We start from the raw sequence: 19,561 nt of genomic DNA on the forward strand, positions 1-19,561 counted from the left end.
AATGAGATAAATAGCATTAACAGGAAAACAAAAACCATATGATCTTTTGATAGATACAGAAAAGGCATTTGACAAAATTCAAAACATCCCTTCATAATAAAAACTCTTAACAAATTAGGTATAGAAGATATGTACGTCAACACAATAAAAGCCATATATGACAAATCCATAGCTAACATCATACGATCAGGAATAAGACAAGGATGCCGACTTTCACCATTTTTATTCAACATAGTACTAGTAGTCCTAGCCAGGGCAAGCAGACAAGAGAATAAATAATTAAAGACATCCAAATCGGAAAGGAAAAAGTCAGATTGTCCCTGTTTTCAGACAAGATCTTATATACAGGAAACCCTAAAGACTTAATGAAAAACTGCTAGAACTGATCAACAAACAATATAAATTTGCAGGATACAAAATTAACACACAAAAATCAGTAGTGTTTCTATGCAATAATAGCAAACTGTCTGAAAATAAAAAGTTTTTTTAAAACAAATTCATTTACAATAGCTACAAAAAATTAGATAATAAATAAACAAGAAGGTAAAAGATCTCTACACTGAAAACTGTAAAACATTGATGAAAGAAATTAAAGAGGACACTAAGAAATGAAAAGATATTCCACGTTCAGGGAATGAAAAAAATAGTATTGTTAAAATGGCCACACTACCCAAAATGATCTATAAATTTAATACAATCTCCATTAAAATACCAATGACATTTTTTACAAAAATAGGAAAAAAAATCCTAAAATTTGTAGGAAACCACAAAAAGTCCCAAATATGCAAAGCAATCCTCAGCAAAAAGAATGCAGCTAGAGGCATCACACTGACTTCAACACACTATATACTACAAAGCTATCATAAACAAAACAGTATGATTCCATCATAAAAACCACATACTTTGACCAATGAAACAGTAGAAAACCCAGAAATAAATCCACACATTTACACCCAACTGATTTTTTATAAATTAGCTTTTCCCTCATGTGTGCCAAGAACACACACGAGGGAAAAGGGAATGTGTGTTTAATATGTTATGCCATTATATTATATGTTAATATATTATATGCTATTATATATGTGTTTAATAGGTTATGCTGATATGTTATATGTTAATATGTTAATAACATATTAAATATAATAGCATAATATAATATGCTAATATGTCAATATATGATGCTGGGAAAATTAGATATACACATGCACAAGAATGAGACTAGACTCCTACTTCTCACCATATACAAAAATCTACTCAAAATGGTTAAAGACTTAAATGTAAAACCTGAAACTATGAAACAATATGGTTTGGCTGTGTCTCCACACAAATCTCATCATGAATCTTAACTCCCACAATTACCACATGTCGTGGGAGGAACCCAGTGGGAGGTTATTGATTTATGAGGGCGGGTCTTTTCTGCACTGTTCTTCTGATAGTGAATGAGTCTCATGAGACCTGATGGTTTTAAAAACAGGAATGTCCCTGTATAAGCTCTCTTTTCTCATCTGCCACCATGTGAGACGTGCCTTTCACCTTCTGCCATGATGGTAAGGTCTCCACAGCCCTATGGAACTCTAAGTCCAATAAAACTTTTTCTTTTGTAAGTTGTCCAGTCTTGGGCATGTCTTTATCAGCAGTGTGAAAATGAACTAACACAGTAAATTGGTACCAGTAGAGTGGGGTGCTGCTGAAAAGATAACTGAAAATGTGGAAGTGACTTTGGAACTGGGTAACAGGCAGAGGTTGAAACAGTTTGGAAAGCTCAGAAGAAGATAGGAAAACGTGGGAAAGTTTGGAACTTCCTAAAGACTTGCTGAATGGCTTTGCCCAAAATGCTGATAGCAATATGGACAATAAAGTCCAGTCTAAGGTGGTCTCAGATGGAAATGAGGAACTTATTGGGAACTGGAGCAAAGGTAGCTCTTGTATGTTTTAGCAAAGAGACTGGCAGCATTTTGCCCCTGCCCTAGAGATTTATGGAACTTAGAACTTGAGAGAGATGATTTAGGGTACCTGGAGAAAGAAATTTCTAAGCAGCAAAGCATTCAAGAGGTGACTTGGGTACTGTTAAAGGCATTCAGTTTTATAAGAGAAGCAGAGCATAACAGTTTGGAAAATTTGCAGCTTGGCAATGCAATAGAAAAGAAAATTCCATTTTCTGAGGAGAAATTTAAGCCAGCTGCAGAAATTTGCATAAGTAACAAGGAGCCTAACGTTAATCCCCAAGACAACGGGGTAAATGTCTCCAGGATGTGGCAGAGGTCTTCATGGCAGACCCTCCCATCAGAGGTCTGGAAACCCAGGAGGAAAAAGTGGTTTCATGGGCCAGGCCCAGGGTCCCTGTGCTGTGTGCAGCCTAGGGACTTTGTGCCCTGCATCCCAGCTGCTCCAGCCATGGCTGAAAAAGGCTAATGTAGAGCTTGAGCCATGGCTCCAAAGGGTGCAAGCCCCAAGCCTTGGTAGCTTCCACATGGTGTTCAGCCTGCAGGTGCACAGAAGTCAATAATTGAGATTTGGGAACCCCTGCCTAGATTTCAGAAGATGTATGGAAACGCCTGGATGCCCAGGCAGAAGTTTGCTGCAGGAGCAGGGCCCCCATGGAGAACCTGTTCTCAGGCAGTGAAGAAGGAAAATGTGGGGTCAGAGCCCCCACGCAGAATCCTAAGTGGGGCACTGCCTAGTGGAGCTGTGAGAAGAGGGCCACTATCCTCTGTACCCCAGAATGGTAGACCCACTGAAAGCTTGCACTGTGCACCTGGAAAAGCCACAGACACTCAATGCCAGCCTGTGAAAGCAGCCAGGAGGGAGGCTGTACCCTGCAAAGCCAAAGGGGTGGAGCTGCCCAAGACTATGGAAACCCACCTCTTGCATCAGCATGGCTCGGATGCAAGACATGGAGTCAAAAGAGATCATTTTGGAGCTTTAAGATTTGACTGCCCTGCTGGATTTCAAGTTGCATGGGGCCTGTAGCCCCTTTGTTTTGGCCAATTTCTCCCATTTGGAATGGCTGTATTTACCCAATCCTCATACCCCCACTGTATCTAGGAAGTAACTAACTTGCTTTTGATTTTACAGGCTCATAGATGGAATGGACTTGCCTTGTATCAGATAAGACATTGTACAGTAGACTTTTGAGTTAATGCTGAAATGAGTTAAGACTCTGGGGGACTGCTGGGAAGGCATGATTGGTTTTGAAATGTGAGGACATGAGATTTGGGAGGGGCCAGGGGCAGAATGATATAGTTTGCCTGTGTCCCCACCCAAATCTTATCTTGAATTGTAACTCCCACAATTCCCATGTGTCATGGGAGGAACCCGGTGCGAGGTGACTGAATTATGGGGGCAGGTCTTTCCTGAGCTGTTCTCCTGATAGTGAATGAGTCTCACAAGGTCTGATGGTTTTAAAAATGGGAGTTTCCCTGCACATGCTCTCTTCTCTTGTCTGCGGCCATGTGAGACATGTCTTTCAACTTCCATCATGATTGTGAGGTTGCGGAACTGTAGGTCAAATAAACCCCTTTCTTTTTAAATTGCCCAGTCTTGGGTATGTCTTTATCGGCAGTGTGAAAACAAACTAATACAGCCATTTAAAAAAAACAAAAAAAAAAAAACAGCAGAAAAACTTCATGATATTGGACTGGGCAAGGATTTTTTAAATAAGATCTCAAAAACAGAAGCAATAAAAGCAAAAATAGACAAAAGAGATTACATCAAACTAAAAAGTTTTCCACAGTAAAGAAAACAACAGAGTGGAGAGATAACCTATAAGATGGGAGAAAAATATCGACACACTATACATCAGACAAAAGATTCATATCCAGAATACATAAGAAACATAACAGCAAAAAAAATCTATTTAAAAATGGGCAAAAAACTTTAATAGACATTTCTCAACAGAAAGTATACAAAAGGCCAACAGGTATATGAAAAAATGTTCACTATCACTAATCATCATAAAATGCCAATCAAAACCACCATCAAATACCACCTCACTCTAGTTAGCATGGCTATTAATAATAAAAAGACAAAAGAAAGCAAGTGTTGGTGTGAATGTGACGGAAAGGGAACCCTTACATGCTGTGGGTAGGATTATAAATGAGTATATCCATTATGGAAAACAGTGTGTAAATTCTTCAAAACATTAAAACTAGAATTACGATAAGATCAAGCAATCCCACTACTAGATATATATCCAAAGAAATTAAATCAGTATGTCAAAGAGATATCTGCACTCCCATCCTTATTGCCACACTATTTACAATAGCTATGATATGGAATCAACTTAAGTGTCCAACAGTGGATGAACAGATAAAGAAAATGTGGTACATATACACAATTAGATACTATTCAGCCATAAAAAGGAATGAAATCCTGTCATTTGTGGCAACATGAATCAATCTGGAGGACATTATGTTAAGTGAAATAATCCAGAGACAGAAAGAAAAATATTGCATGATATCACTCACATGTAAAGTTTAAAAAGAAGAAAAATTAATACAATAGAAGTAGAGGGTAGAATAATGGTTACAAAGATTGGGGAGGGGAAGAGAAAGGAGAAGGTGGGCAGAGGTTGATCAACATGTACAAAATTACAGTAAGTAGATAGGAGGAATAAGTTCTAGTGTTTTATTGCACAGTAAGGTACGTATAGTTAACAGCATTGTATTGTAGATTACAAAGTAGCCAGAAGAGAGGTTTTGAACATTCTCACCACAAAAAAATGATAAGTGCATAAGGTGATGGGTACCCTGGCTAACCTGATTTGATCATTATGCAACATGTATGTTTCACAATATCAAACTGTATCCTATATATATGTGCAGTTACAATATGTCAATTTATAAACTTTAAAAAGAACAGCATTTAAATATTTAAAACTTATTTTTATCAGAATTATTTAAAAATGTATGTAAAATACATATAGAATTCCTGAATCACTGTTTAAAAGCATGACTTTCCCCATTTCTACCTACTTGTTTCCATGGCTAAATTCTTCACGTTCCATGTGAATTCTAAGTATTCATCCTTCTTTACTGCTTTGTAAAATGTTTTCCATGTCAAAGAACTAGAACAAGTGTCACTTTCTAGCAGACACCAGCTAAGTTAACTTTCTCAAAATGTAACTTTCAGATCTTTTCCCTCCATGTCACATTTGTGGGAAAAAAATAAATATTAATTTATTTCATAAAAAAGATTTATTTCATTAAAAATATTAATTTATTTCATAAAAAATAATATTTTATATACTCCTAGAAATCAACATTCTTTCTTAATGAATAATTAGTGTAACGGTAAATTATACTAATAATTTAGTATAGTTTATTACTAAATCATATTAAGAGAAATGTTAGTATAATTAAAATATCTTTTTGAGCTTTGTAATATATCCAAATTTTCTGTCTTCAGAATTACATTCACCAGAACTAGTTCAAGTGCCAAAATTTTGGTAGTAGCCCCAAAATCCCAAATAATACTGGAGTTTCTAATCACCAGAAATCAGTCTTCTACGAAGTGATCTAGTATGATTTTTATGATTCATCTGTATTTTAAACTCTTAAAAGATTAGGTATTAAAATTTCTATTTAAAAATATATAATATAAATTTATGTTTATATAACTATATAATGTAAATTATATGCTGTTACATATATAATATGAATATACAATAATAAAACATAGATATATATGTATGTATATATTTTACAGAAACATACCCATAAACTTACCCATTTTTTTGGTCTAATCTTGTCAAGCAGTTGTGTTTATAGAAATTGAGCACATATGCATTTAGTGGCATTCTCCTTCCTCGGTTATCTAATTTCCATGGCCACAGCAGAGGAGCCTGAGTGCCACTAACACCGACTGTGCGCAGGATGACCTGAAGAAAGACATTTTCTATTACTTCATTACTGATATGTAAAGAGTAACTGTTTGCAGTTTGAGATTTCCTTTGTATGAATCTGTTTCTTAAAGTACGTTCTGAAGAAGTTGAAGTGAAGGAGGCAGGCAGAGGGGGATTCCCATGGGGGTTGAGGGAAATAGGGCCCATTACAGTGAGGGAAAGGGCGTGTTACAGACACTGGCCACTGTGACACTAAGCATGCCTCGGGAATGGGCAGCACCGCTGAGGGAAATAGGAACTCTCAAAGCATACTGAAGGCAATTTCAACCATCCAACTACAATACTGTTAGCAACATTCACTAAGGAAAAATAAATAGAAGCTGATTTTAAGGTAGAATTTTCATCGTTATCTTCATTGGTGCACAGAATGACCTTGAAAGGAGTGTCATGTAGCTAGTGTCTCCCTGTGCTCACAGGGAGAATAAAATGAAACAGCACAAACCTCTGGGCTCCAGAGAGAAGAAAAAAGTGGCAGAGGAGGAGGCAGAAGAGGAGAAAATGAAGAGAAGCAAAACAAACAAACAAAAACTAAGTCTCCGTGGTTCTGGGCACATTAGACAAATTAATCTGTACAGAATCAGAAGGAATCTGCAAATTCTGCCAGTGCATGGGTAAAATTAAACTGTGGAGCAAGTTGGAATAAAAATACAAGTTCAGGCCAGGCATGGTGGCTCATGCCTGTAATCCTAGCACTCTGGGAAGCTGAGGTGGGTGGATTGCTTGGGCCCAGGAGTTCAAGATCAGACTGGGCAATATGCTGAAAACCCATCTCTACTAAAAATATAAAAAATTAGCTGGGCATGCTGGCACGTGCGTGTAGTTCCAGGTATATGGGAGACTGAGGTGGGAGGATCACCTGAGCCCCGGAAGTTGAGGATGCAGTGAGCCGAGATAGTGCCACTGCACTCCAGCCTGGGCAAGAGAGTGAGACCCTGTCACAAATAAAAAGTGGGGAAAGGGAGGGGAGTCGAGGGAAGGGGAGGGGAGGGAAGGGAAGGGAAGATACAAAAGTTCAATGAGAAAAATACATAATGTAGAATTTGTAACTTTGAAGAAGTTGTTTGATCATCTGTGTTCTTTTCTATTTGTTTACTTTGGGTATCAAATAGCTTTGATATCTATATTCTTTTGGATAAACTTTTAAATAATTTAACAGTTCTTTTAAAATGTCAATATTTATAATGAACCTGAAATTGCATTAGCAGCTATTAAAATTTTGGTTAACAAAATTTTTAGATATCAACCCAAACTGTGCAAGAAGATTCACGATTTTTTAAAATTCCTTTAAACGTTACATATGCAAAAATACTTGAAGACCATATTTGACATGATGTGTGACTCTCTGACCCAGGGATAAAATAAGCCAGTGCACAGTGTCAATCTTTATTATTAAATATATTCAATGTGGAATTTATTTCTCATATTTCAAATTAAATCTAAAATCTTCCAGCACCCTAATATTTTATCCAGAACCTCCCAGAGGTTCTAATGCTTTGTGGCCCCCTTTGTAGACCACTGTCCCCAAAGATCCATGTGGTCTGGAGTAGAAAAGCACTATGAGGTCTATGATCAATTTTAGAAAAATGTGAGCCGCTTTCTTTTCCTCTTCCCACAGCAAACCTGTGGCAAACCTCATTTAAAAAAATGAGAAAAAACAGTGGTGTCTGAAATTTTAGACAAAGAAGCAGGGTTTCTCAGGCCAACTCCATAGAGCATAAATCACACTGGCCTCCAGGGCTTCATTCTCTTAGACAATGATGCTCATCAGTGGACATTTTTCAGTGTTTTGGGTTTGAGGTCCTATCAAGGCTTCACAGCAATGTAACCCCACTCTGTCTGTTAAACACATTTTGTACATAAGATGTATCCTTCACTTACCTGGTTGATAGTCTCTGGTCGAAGCAAATCATTATCTGTGTTCCCCGAAAGACAAACAAATGGTGAAATGGCTACTCTTCCTTTCTTGCAGCTCATCAAGTGAGACACGAGTTGGGAGTCTTCACATTCTTTACCTGTGAATTCTGACCATTTTGGACTAGGTCACGTTAGGTTTTAAAAATCAGCCCAAATGTTAACCCTTTCAAACTCACTGTAGGTCAAGCCACAGTAGGTGACATTCATCTCATCAGAATGAAAACTGATTGAGATATGGTGCATAAAGTCATTAACACAGCTTGGCACAGAGTAATCATTCAATCCATGTTGACTATTAACTTATTATCATTACTCTTTTTTATTACCTGTTATTTTTGCCTATGAACTCAGATATAACCTCAGAAACCTCCTAGACATGATGTTCAGGCAGCTCCTACCAGTGGATTTGGAGCTGGCATAAGAGATAAAACAGAGGTTCTGTCCAGCGAGTACCATCTCGCTGGACTTGGAAGGCACCAAGTCATGCACTCAGGTCTGGCTCGTTTTTCCCATCACGACACAATCACACACTCCCATCATCTTTTCTCTGCACTACTTTCCTTGCTTCCACCATTATTGTCTGCATTTGCTCATGCTGTGTCCTACATCAACAAATCTTGAGTAGCTACAATGCTTACCTCCCTGTCTTTTACTCCAACTATGACTATATTAGGAGACAGGGGAATATGGGAATCATTTTATGGCTCCACTCTTTACTCTTAGTCTAGCTTCTTTCCATTTATTCTCCCCTAAAAGTTTCCCGCTATAAAATTGAAATTTGGAAGCTTAGTTACTTTGCAATACCAGTTACTCCTCAATCAAGAACAAATAATTGAAGCAAAGAATGATATTTGCAACGTCTGCTAGAACTTTCCGTAATGATGGAAATATTCTACCTCTACTGTGTCCAAAGTAGAAGCCACTAGCACTGGAAAGTTAACGTGACTAAAGCTAAAGTGACTAAAGAATTAACTTTTCAATTGTTTTATTTTTAATCAACTTAATTTAAATAGTGACACGTAGCTAGCTGGTGGCTACCATGTTGGGTAGAATAGACTTACGCGATGTTGACTATGTGCTATGCACTGTTTTAAGAAACTTATAAACATTAATATACCTAATCCTCTAAAATTCTGTAAGCTAGGTAATATTTTTAGTCATTTCATTTTACAGATTAAAAAAATGAGACACAGAAAGATTAAGTAACTGGCATGAGACCTCATGGTTAATAAGTAGCAGAGCCAGGATTTAGACCTTGGCATTCTGCTGCCAGTGTTCACATTTGTAACCACTATGCAACTGCCCCTCAGGGGAAAAAAATGCCAGAAATTATGCCGTTTTCTTTTTCATCTGTCACTTTTTCTGATCCAGTTTTCCAACCTGAACAGATAGGCAACTTTCCATCAAAATGGTTCATGAATGACTTTTATTTTTTTTCCTCCATTGCCCAATTAATATTTGGTAATTATAAAGTTTTTTTTTAATTGGAAAACAGAGCCATTATCACACCCTACAATGGGCTAAATTGTTTTCTGGGGATAAAACACTTGGGTTAGTACAGCTGCCCTGTAATAAGCTCCTTTACCAGCTTTGAAGCATCCAATATCCAGAGGCTTTCTTAACCAAGATTGTTTACTCTTTAAATTGTTCCGGAATGGAACTAAAATCTGCTTACTGATTCTTGACAAAGGGAGTTGATGCTCTTTTTTCATGTTCACCGACTTGGAAGCAATCAGCAGGAAGGAGGCAAAATCCTTCATTACTGCCAGGTTATACTCATATAAAGCAGCTTTAAAATCCTCCGGGAGTTCGGCAAGGATCACCTATGGGCGAAATACATTTCAGAAAGATCTCTTTACTTTTATTTAAAAAATTAAACTGCTTGGTGATAAGATTGCAGCATAGTTCTGTAGATTGATGCTCATTCATCAAAACCCTTGATTACTTTACTCACCTGTGAGATTAAGGTAAAATTTCCTTTTGATTTCAACCAACATTTATAAATGTAAGTATCTTTCCTTAAAAAAGTTATTTTGACTCCACTTAGCCAAAACCACCAATTTAATAGAAACATGTCCTACACTGATCTTAAACTTAGGTATATTTCAGAGACTTGAGGGACATATTTAGAGAGCAAGTAACAAGTTAGTGTAGCAGTAGTAGCGTCAATGCTTTATTGAGTTCAGATTATGTGCCAACACTGTGCTTTGCTGCCCCAAGCACTTGTTATATGTTAGCTCAGTTAATCCTGAGAACAACCCTATGCAGTAAACATTTTCATCTACATTTTGTACATGAGGGAGCTAACCCTCACAGAGGTAAACTTGTTCCAAACCTGACAGGTAGTAGATAGAGAAGTAGCTGGTATTGCAAGCTAACTCAGCTTCCAAATTTCATGTTTAAAAACAAATTCTTTCAGAATTAGGACTAGAAGTTTCTTTAGTGTGAGTTAGAAATAGCTATGACATTAGAAATGTTCTTGGTTTTCTTCTGTTACAATTATGGGTTTTATTATTTATTTGATATTTTCCTTAATTTATTCATAACCTGTACTTTTCCAATAATTGAGGTATTTTATAAGGGTAAAGATAATACAATATGATCATATAAATCAAAATTTGGTAAAAAGGAAAGAAAAACAAGAAAGAGACTAAAATGGGGCACAAATTATATTCCAAGATTCCTAGGAGCAAGTGTGAATGACACATTTCAGAATGTCTATGAGATAAACAGCTATTTATTCTCAGCACTAATATCAGGTAAGAATTTTCCAGGGGGATTCTTACAAAAGGCAACCGTGTGGACATAATAAAGAATGCCCCTACCAACTCCTTACAGTGGATAGTATGACAATTTCCACAAGCCTACTTCGGACTCAGCTCCATCTGTGGATGGACCAAGACAAAAGAATAAATTGACAGGTGCAGCTCTACACTCTGGTCAAAGTGATATGGTCTCTTTACTGCTATGCCTTCCATGTCCTGCCATTGTGCCACTGCTGGACACCGTTCTAGGGCAGCACGTGCTGCTTACCATGTACACCTTGTGTTGTTTGCCACCTTCTCGAATGTGTATGCTATACAGCCCCATCAGGAGAGCAAGCTCTTGGAAGGTAGCAACTATGTTTCCCAATCATGATTTTTGCTATAGTTTACACATATTTATTGCTCAATAAATCTTTGCTAATTGACTAATATAGAGCAGTTATCCCAAATTATGGTACATAATATAAGAGGTACATGAGATGATTTAGTGTGACACACAGAACATTGAGTAATTATACATCAGTTTTAAAAAATAAAAAGTGGGCTGGGCATGGTGGCTCATGCCTGTAATCCCACCACTTTGGGAAGCCAAGGCGGGCGCATCACTTGAGGTCAGGAGTTTAAAACCAACCTGGCCAACCTGATGAAACCTCAACTGTACTAAAAATACAAAAAAATTAGCCAAGCGTGGTGGCGAAGCCTGTAATCCCAGCTACTTGGGAGGCTGAGGCAGGAGAATGGCTTGAACCTGGGAGGTGGAAGTTGCAGTGAGCTGAGATTGCGCCACTGCACTCTAGCCTGGGTGAGTGAGCAAGACTCTGTCTCAAATAAATAAATAAATAAATAAATAAATAAATAAATAAATAAATAAATAAAAATATCTTCTTTCCAGTCCTCTTCTATTCTTTCTGATAACCCTAGAAAGTCCAGAGGCAATAGACCACCATTGTTTCTCTAAAAGTTTATAATCTCTTTTTGTAGCAAAGAGAGAGAAGCTTCAGCTGAGAACCATGTTAACTGCATCTATTTTTATGGCTTCCTTAGTTTTGAAATCAAAGATCCTGGCTTTCTATTTACAGTAGTAGTAAATATGAAGTTTCCTTTTTAAATACTTTAAAATGTGTATGCATTTAAGAAAATGATTAACAGTTCCAGTGGTTTGCAATGTGGATATATGTCAGTAACTAAAATTGGGTGCTCAGGTCTGGAGGTATATCCAGAGGCATTGTGAGGTCAGAAAGCCTAGATTAATGCTAATTACCTTTTTGTTCTCTATTCACTAGGGTTACTGGATAGAAACAAGCTTCTTCTACATTCCCAGGTTCTAATGCACATTTTCTTGGGTTCTGTTTGCTTGTTATTATTTTGTTGTTGTGTCTTTAAAAAAATAAGAAATTGGAAACAAACAGTGTTACAAAAAAACTTAGAAAATAATTTTTCTTTCAGTCTCTCAACCCTTAAGTTAGGGGATTCTTTCTTAGGTGACCACCTCAATATTGTCTGAAGAGGACATTAGAGGTCATAATGTAATTCCTTCCCTGCACTCCCATCCCTAGCTGTAAACAATCCCAATGGAACTATAGGTTCAGCAGTAGGGCTGTCATTCTATTTAAATGACTATTTGTGTATGTAATCTCTGTTGCTACTGAATTACATAATTTGCTCCAATAAAGTGAAAAAACTTTAGGGATAAGAATTGTTTGTTAGATTAGCAGGGGAAGATGTTTGAACTAAAAATTAAATAGAACTCTAATTATGAAAAGACAACACTATTAAAACAAATGGAGTAGCTTATATTAATTTAACCCTATAGGTACTGAATGCTTTCCAGTAGCATACATTTAATAACTATCATTATTATATCATTGTAAGTATAACAAACTTTACCTTTGACTGAGAAAAACTTAAATTAGCATTTTGGAATTTTGCTGGAATATATTTTCTTCCAAACAAATTTGCCAATACTAACACGAGCTTTTCCATCACATCTTGGGAAAATTGTTGTGAGCCTATTGAAATAAAGAGCATTATTATAAATAAGAATAATGTTGATTCCATTTATTTTCTGCCTAAATTTGTTTTTATAGTACATTTCCTTTTGTTGAAGGCAAAATTTTCTAGCAAATATATACCTCAGAAATTGACCATATTTGCAATACTATGTGCACATTTATTTTTTTGGGTAAGACAGGAGATTTTATATTCTGTGCCTTGTTTTTCCATCCTTGCTATACCCGCCCTAGTTCCCACCCCAGAATGTTTACTAACTGGTTTCCTGACTTGCACTCTCCTTTCTTCAGGCCATCTTGAGAGTGATCAGCCTTTCCAAAGCATGAATATAAACATATCCCTCCTTTACTCAAAAACCTTTGAGGGTATCTCAACGGCTAATTGAAAAATCCAGGTTCCTTGGCCTGCTCTTTAGGGTGTTTCAAATCCTGTCAAAACAAAGCTTCCAAACTTACCTACCAACACTTCTAAACACTAGCTCTAGGTTCTGGTCATCTTGACCTACTCTCCACTCCCCATAACGCATGAGCACCATACTGTGGGCATTAAAAGGTGGCTAGGTTTAATTAACTGGGCTCTGAAGCATACTAAAATCATATGACCATCAGAAACTTATTGTCTTTCTATGCTTCTCCGTTTTCTCTTCTGCAAATATTCTTTATCAGTTAAGTAATATATAAGTAGCCCTCAAATACTCTTTATTAGAATAAATATCAGTTGACTTTTAGTGTCTAATTTTTTGGCATCTGTAAATCTGAACATATACTTAGTATTTATTTGCTTTAATAAATGAGAAGGAGGAAGAAGAGAAAAACATATCTGCGGTTTTGGCTATTCAATAAATATGTTGCCATTTTTCGACTACAGGTATAAAACCCAAGCTTACCTTTCCAGGCTGGCTTACAGAGATTATGGAAAAGGCCTCTCTTGAGAAAATTTACAAAAACAAGATTTGAAGGTTCATGACCATGCAAATATGATGCAAGTCCTGCAAATTTCTTTGGATTACCCTTTTTATTTAAATAGTCCTAAAAATGAGAAACAAAAAGTTGATTTAACTTGTCATGTACTCAAATACCATAAAATACCAGTGTGAGTGACTGACAAATATTACCTGACTTCATTTATTAATAAATGATAAGTAACATTATCATTGAATGCAGATTATAGAAATTTCAGTTGGTTTAGCATAGAAAGAAGTTTACACGGTACTAGTTACAGAGAACAAAAAGCCAAAGCACGATGATACCTCTTTGATAAGGAGCTGCAAGGAAAACAAAAAGTAAAGTTTCAAAGTCTCCATGGCTCTTCGTCTCTTAAAAGACAGCAATGAATGCTTTAGCACTGACAACACCTATAAAAGAAGAGTACTTTAATTTATCTAGTTTTAAACAGTATTTGTAAATACTGATATGTAATAAATAGTACACATACATACTATATAGATAAGGTTACCAGATCTTACGTGAAAGTAAATTTCATTTGATTTCATATTATCTCTTTGATTGTATCTTCACATGGCACATGCTTCCTTGAATTAAATACATCATATAAAGCAGAACTGTTATACATAACCCAGACTGGCAAATAATCTGCTAAATCCCTGAAACAGTGGTGACCAATAGTGGCCTGAAAAAATGAAGTATGAAAGCCAATCCGGCTTACAAGATTAGTTGTCTTAGGCCATTCTAAAGGTAAATAGAGTAATTATATTGTTCTGAATCTTGAGTTATCCCATTAAACCTAATGGAATTAGGTAGATTGCAGTCAACAGAATGGAAATATTTGGATCTGTGTCATCACCCAAATTTCATGTCAAATTGTAATCCCCAGTGTTGGAGGTGGGGCCTGATTGGAGGTGATTGGATCATGGAGGTGAATTTCCCCTCTGGTGCTGTTCTCATGATAGTGAGTTATCATGAGATCTGGTTGTTTAAAAGTGTGTAGCACCTCCCCTCTACCTCTCTTCCTCCTGCTCCAGCCATGCATGTAACACACGGCCTACTTCTGCTTCACTTTCTGACATGATTGAAAGTTTCCTGAGGCCTACCCAGAAGCAGAAGCTACTTATGCTTCCTGTACAGCCTGCAGAACCATAAGCCAATAAAATGTCTTTTCTTTATAAATTACCCAGTCTCAAGTGTCTCTGTATAGCAGCGTGAGAATGAACTAATACAGGAAGTTGATACTGAGGAGTGGGGCACTGCTATAAAGATATCTGAAAATGTGGAAGCGATTTTGGAACTGCATAGTGGACAGAGGTTGGAATTTTGTGGAGGGCTCAGAAGAAGACAGGAAGATGAGGGAAAGTTTGGATCCTAAAGACTTGTTAAACTGTTGTGATCAAAATGCTAATAGTAATATGGACAATGAAGTCCAGGCTAATGAGGTCTCAGATGGAGATGAAGAACTTATTGGGAACTGGAGCAAAGGTCAATTTTGTTAAGTGTTAGCAAAGAGGTTAGCTGCATTGTGCTCCTGCTCTAGGGAACTGTAGAACTTTGAACTTGAAAGAGATGATTTAGGGTATGTGGCAGAAATAAATTTCTAAGTAGCAAAGTGTTCAAGATGTAGCCTGGCTGCTTCTATCAACCTATGCGCATATGTGTTAGCAAAGAAATCACCTGAAACTAGAACTTGTATTTGAAAGGGAAGCAGAGTATAAATCTGAAAAATATGCAGCCTAGCCATGTGGCAGAAAAGAAAAGCCTATTTTCTGGGCAGGAATTCAAGCAGCCTGCATGTATTTGTATAACTAAAAGGAAGGCAAATGCTGATAGTCAAGACAATTGGAAAAGTCCTCACAGACATTTCAGAGACCTTTGCAGCATTCCCTCCCATCACAGGCTGGAGTGCAGTAGGTCATAGCTCACTGCAACCTCAAACTCCTGGACTCAAGTGATCCTCCTGCCTCAGCCTCCCAAATAGCTGGGACTACAGGTATATGCCACCATACCCAGCCAGTGAAACTTTTTCTAATAAAGAAACCAAAGCAATTAAAATAGAAATCAAATTAAAAATCTAATTTAATAAATATACTTCTTCAAAAACAACTTGAATGTGATAAATTGAAAAGGTTCTGAATATGATAAACACTATCAATTTTTTTTAAAAAAAAAAACTATAACTAGAAACTTCTCCTAAAAAAGTAACATATAAGAATAAAGAAAAGGATCCATATACATGGGCAGAAAAAGTCAAGTGACCTACAAGAAAACAGCAATCAGTAGGGCCACAGATTATATCTCCACAACAGTAGATGCCAAAGAAAATGAAGCATCGACAATTCTGAAGACTAATGGCTCAAATCCAAAAAATTTATGCCAGGTTAAATTGTCCTTACTACAAAAGAAAAAATCTCCTCAAATACGCAGGAGCCCAGAAAATATGCCACCCTCACAAACGTTATTATATGAAAAACAATAACAAAAACCTTTAAAGTGTACTACTCTCTCTTCCTGGGAGAGTAATCAAAACCAAGAATGGGGCCACTTTTACATAGAACTGGGTGTCGCTGTTCTCTGTGACTATCAAAAGGCACACACCTGACTCATTACAGGGTTCTGGGAAGACTCTTTGTCTTGGCAAGTGGAATCTGACGTAACTGGCCATGATAATGAATATATAAGAATATGGAAAACTTGGTAACCTTACAATGATATTTTATTAAATTTAAATTTTAATGTGAATTATATATTACTCAACATGGGGTTACATCCCCCAAAATTGTTCTGATTGAAAACCTCAGGCAAATTTACCAAATTCTGACATCTAGTTCAACATAACTGCATCCATTCTTTAAAAAGCAAACACTTACCCACATTTAGGTAGAAAAGACTGGAAGAAATATACCAAAATAATAAAGCAGTTTCCTTTGAGTAGTGGAACTATCGCTTCTTGGCCTTTTGGCTAAGATCAAGTGAGTAGTGGAACTAGGTATGGGTGATTTTTCCTTCTTTCAGCTTTTCTATGGTTCCAAATAAACTTTTATAAACAGGTTATTTTATATTTAAAATATAATTTTTATTTTTAATACAGCAATACTGTTTTCCTCATTTTTATCTGGAATTAAGAGTGACACATTTGAGAATACATTCAATCTTTCATTTCACTTATAATTCTTCTAATAATTCTTTAATGTAAAAATTTCATATTGATCTAATTAATTAAGTGGCAAATGCTGACAACATAACAGAATTTAAGGTAGAAGCAAATCTATTTTTCCACAAAAAATATATAGACAGTCAAAAACAAGTTATATTATCAGTTTTCACTCATACTTGACTTCCTTTATAAAGGAAAAAGTAAAAATCAACATATAAAAAGAATGAAAAAGTTAGCAAGTGCTTTTCCCATTCTTCTCTTTAATGAACACTAAAGCAAAACAAAAAAAACCTAAAACTAAAATCATAAGACCTGAGACTACAAACAATAATAGCTAGCATTTATGTGTTTACTACTCATCGAATATGATGCTAAGAAGTCCTTGACTTGCATTAACTATAATTTATAGTGGTTGTTATTGCCATTTTGTAGCTGACAGTTCTGAGATTTAGGAAAATGTAATTGCCTTATTAAAGTTAAATAGTCAGTAAATAATTGAACCAGGGACCTATTCCAGACCTTTATGAGTCTATAGCCAATATTCAACCACTATACTATATTGCTTTTCACACATTAAAATAACCCTGGTAATTCTTAATGCCTTATGGTCTTTGGTGGTAAAACAAAATTATTTTTTTCTGTCCTGAAGAAACATATAATAATCAAGAAAATGCAAAGCATTAAAAGAGTGATGAAACTGAAGAGCTATTGCTACTGTTGACGTGAAAAATACTGGGGCAAAATTAATATAGAGAGTTCATTTGGGCCAAGGTTGAAGACAGCTGTCTGGGACAGACACACTTCCAAGTTGTCCCAAAAAGTATTCTGCTCAGCCTTTGCTACAAGTAGATTTTTAAAGGCAAAAGGGGACAAGAAGTGGGCTGATACAAAGTTTTTTGACAGGAGTTCTCACAGTTTTACAGAAATAACATTGATTTGTGATTGGCTATACATTGTTGAACTACAAGGAATGAGGTATGGTGTCCAATGTATGGTGTTTTATGGCTACTTCATGTCAGTTAGCCTAGAGTTCACATAGGAAGTGGCTTCAAGAGGTAATTATTTAGCTCACGAGGGGAGTGAGACATGACTGCTGTCACACCCTGTCACACTCCAATGCCTCTCTGGGCCTGATAATTAAAGGGCACTCACATTCCTCAGATAAAAAGTTTCTTGGCCAAGTGCACTGGTTCACACCTGTAATCTCAACATTCTGGGAGGCCAAGGCAGGTGTGATGGTTAACACTGAGTGTCAACTTGATTGGATTGAAGCATTCAAAGTATTGATCCTAGGTGTGTCTTTGAGCGTGTTGCCAAAGGAGATTAACATTTGACTCAGTGGGCTGGGAAAGGCAGACCCACCCTTAATGTGGGTGGGCACCATCTAATCAGCTGCCAGCATGGCCAGAATATAAAGCAGGCAGAAAAAATGAAAAGGCTAGACTGACTTAGTCTCCCAAACTACATCTTTCTCCTGTGCTGGATACTTCCTGCCCTTGAGCATCAGACTCCAAGTTCTTTCATTTTGGGACTCAGACTGGCTTCCTTGCTCCTCAGCTTGCAGATGGCCTATTATGGGTCCTTGTGATCATGTGAGTTAATACTTAATAAACTCTTCTTTATACATATATCTATCCTATTAGTTCTGTCACTCTACAGAACCCTAATACAGTGGGTGGATTGCTTGAGCCCAGGAGTTTGAGACCAGCCTGGGCAACAGTGAGCCCTCACCTCTACACAAAAAAATAAAATAAAAATTAGCTGGGCATGGTGGTGTACACCTGTAGTCCCAGCTACTTGGGATGCTGAGATGGGAAGATCACTTGAGCCCAGGTGATTAAGGCTGCAGTAAACCATGATTGTACCACTGCACTCCAGCCTAGATGACACAGCAAGACCCTGTCTCCAAAACAATCAAACAAAAAGAAAGTTTATTTTCTTTCTCAAGACAGACTTCTAAAAGAGCAGCAGACCTGACTAGAGCCAGGCCAGTGATGAAGACTGAACCTCAGGCAGTGTCCAGCACGGTACCTTTGCCTTGGCATCCTCTGGGTCATCTCCCTTGGAAGCCAGCAGCATGAGTCGCAGGACCAGGGTTATGCTGAGAGGGAACTGTCCTCTCAGCTCAGGAACACTGGATGCAAGGAGTCTTTTTATTTTGGGCAATGGGATATCAAAGAAATACACATTTCCAAGCAGGTCTTGACCTCTTCTTCCAGCACGACCAGACATCTGGAAGCAGCAAAGAATCACAATGTAAAACCTCCACAGATAATTATCCTATGAAGTCCAAAGATTTATGACTTTACACTTGTTATCCGGGATTGTGTTAAATTGTGTATTTAGTCCTGAAACTAATCTATGTTAACATGGCACTTAAAAAATACAGTGTGGCTGGGCAAAAGAGATAAGGAGGCATTGTGATATATATTTGGTCTTTGGCCCCAGTTGCTGGCATATGACTCATAAAATCCTTGGACTCTCCAATATCTGTATGTGAATGAGTTGGCTGATAGCTGGCAGTCTCTAGGCAGCTTCAGGACGGGGACTGGTCACCAGAAAGACCAAGGCATGATTAGAGGATTGGGACTTTCAGCCCCTCCTCGCAATTTCTGGGGAAGGGAGAAGGGCTCAAGGTTAAGTTTATCACCAGTGGCTAATGGTTTAATTCTTCAGGCCTGTGTAGTGAAGTTTCCATAAAAACCTAAAGGGACTGTCTCAAAGAGCTTCCACACAGCTGAATACACGGAGTTTCCTGGAGGGTGGTGTGCCCTCAGAGGGCATGGAAGCTCCGTGCCCCTTGACCCATACCTTGCCCTCACAGCTCTTCTGTATCCTTTATAATATCCTTCATAATAAACTGATA

The 19,561-nt window shown here is 37.2% G+C and overlaps 1 protein-coding gene across 21 annotated transcripts in view, besides 2 other annotated features; it reads right to left on the reverse strand.

Annotated features, from left to right (window-relative positions):
- DDX60L (DExD/H-box 60 like) overlaps positions 1–19,561 on the reverse strand; it is a 123,758-nt gene that overhangs the window by 9,151 nt on the left and 95,046 nt on the right. For 19 of the 21 annotated variants that reach the window (XM_047416399.1, XM_005263341.5, XM_011532403.3 and 16 more), the window contains 7 exons: positions 18,727–18,927; positions 13,841–13,945; positions 13,478–13,619; positions 12,469–12,590; positions 9,492–9,639; positions 7,781–7,923; positions 5,727–5,878 (listed from right to left, as the gene is read on the reverse strand). In XM_047416399.1, the coding sequence (XP_047272355.1) occupies positions 5,727–5,878; positions 7,781–7,923; positions 9,492–9,639; positions 12,469–12,590; positions 13,478–13,619; positions 13,841–13,945; positions 18,727–18,927 (1,013 nt within the window). Of the gene's footprint in view, positions 1–5,726; positions 5,879–7,780; positions 7,924–9,491; positions 9,640–11,842; positions 11,959–12,468; positions 12,591–13,477; positions 13,620–13,840; positions 13,946–18,726; positions 18,928–19,561 lie in introns of those variants that run through there. The other 2 variants (XM_011532406.2, XM_047416402.1) reach the window with 2 other exon arrangements.
- Positions 10,697–10,866: an enhancer, noted in NCBI's record as "experimental_76110 CRE fragment used in MPRA reporter constructs". NCBI's record gives its function as "activates a minimal promoter by MPRAs in K562 erythroleukemia cells, with activity observed for both the introgressed and non-introgressed 4:169297818 variant alleles {active_cell/tissue: K562}" and the evidence as "EXISTENCE:reporter gene assay evidence [ECO:0000049][PMID:34662402]".
- Positions 13,330–13,499: an enhancer, noted in NCBI's record as "experimental_76113 CRE fragment used in MPRA reporter constructs". NCBI's record gives its function as "activates a minimal promoter by MPRAs in K562 erythroleukemia cells, with activity observed for the non-introgressed 4:169300451 variant allele {active_cell/tissue: K562}" and the evidence as "EXISTENCE:reporter gene assay evidence [ECO:0000049][PMID:34662402]".

This window comes from Homo sapiens, chromosome 4 (assembly GCF_000001405.40).
Source record: "Homo sapiens chromosome 4, GRCh38.p14 Primary Assembly".
In the NCBI taxonomy this organism is placed as follows: domain Eukaryota; kingdom Metazoa; phylum Chordata; class Mammalia; order Primates; family Hominidae; genus Homo; species Homo sapiens.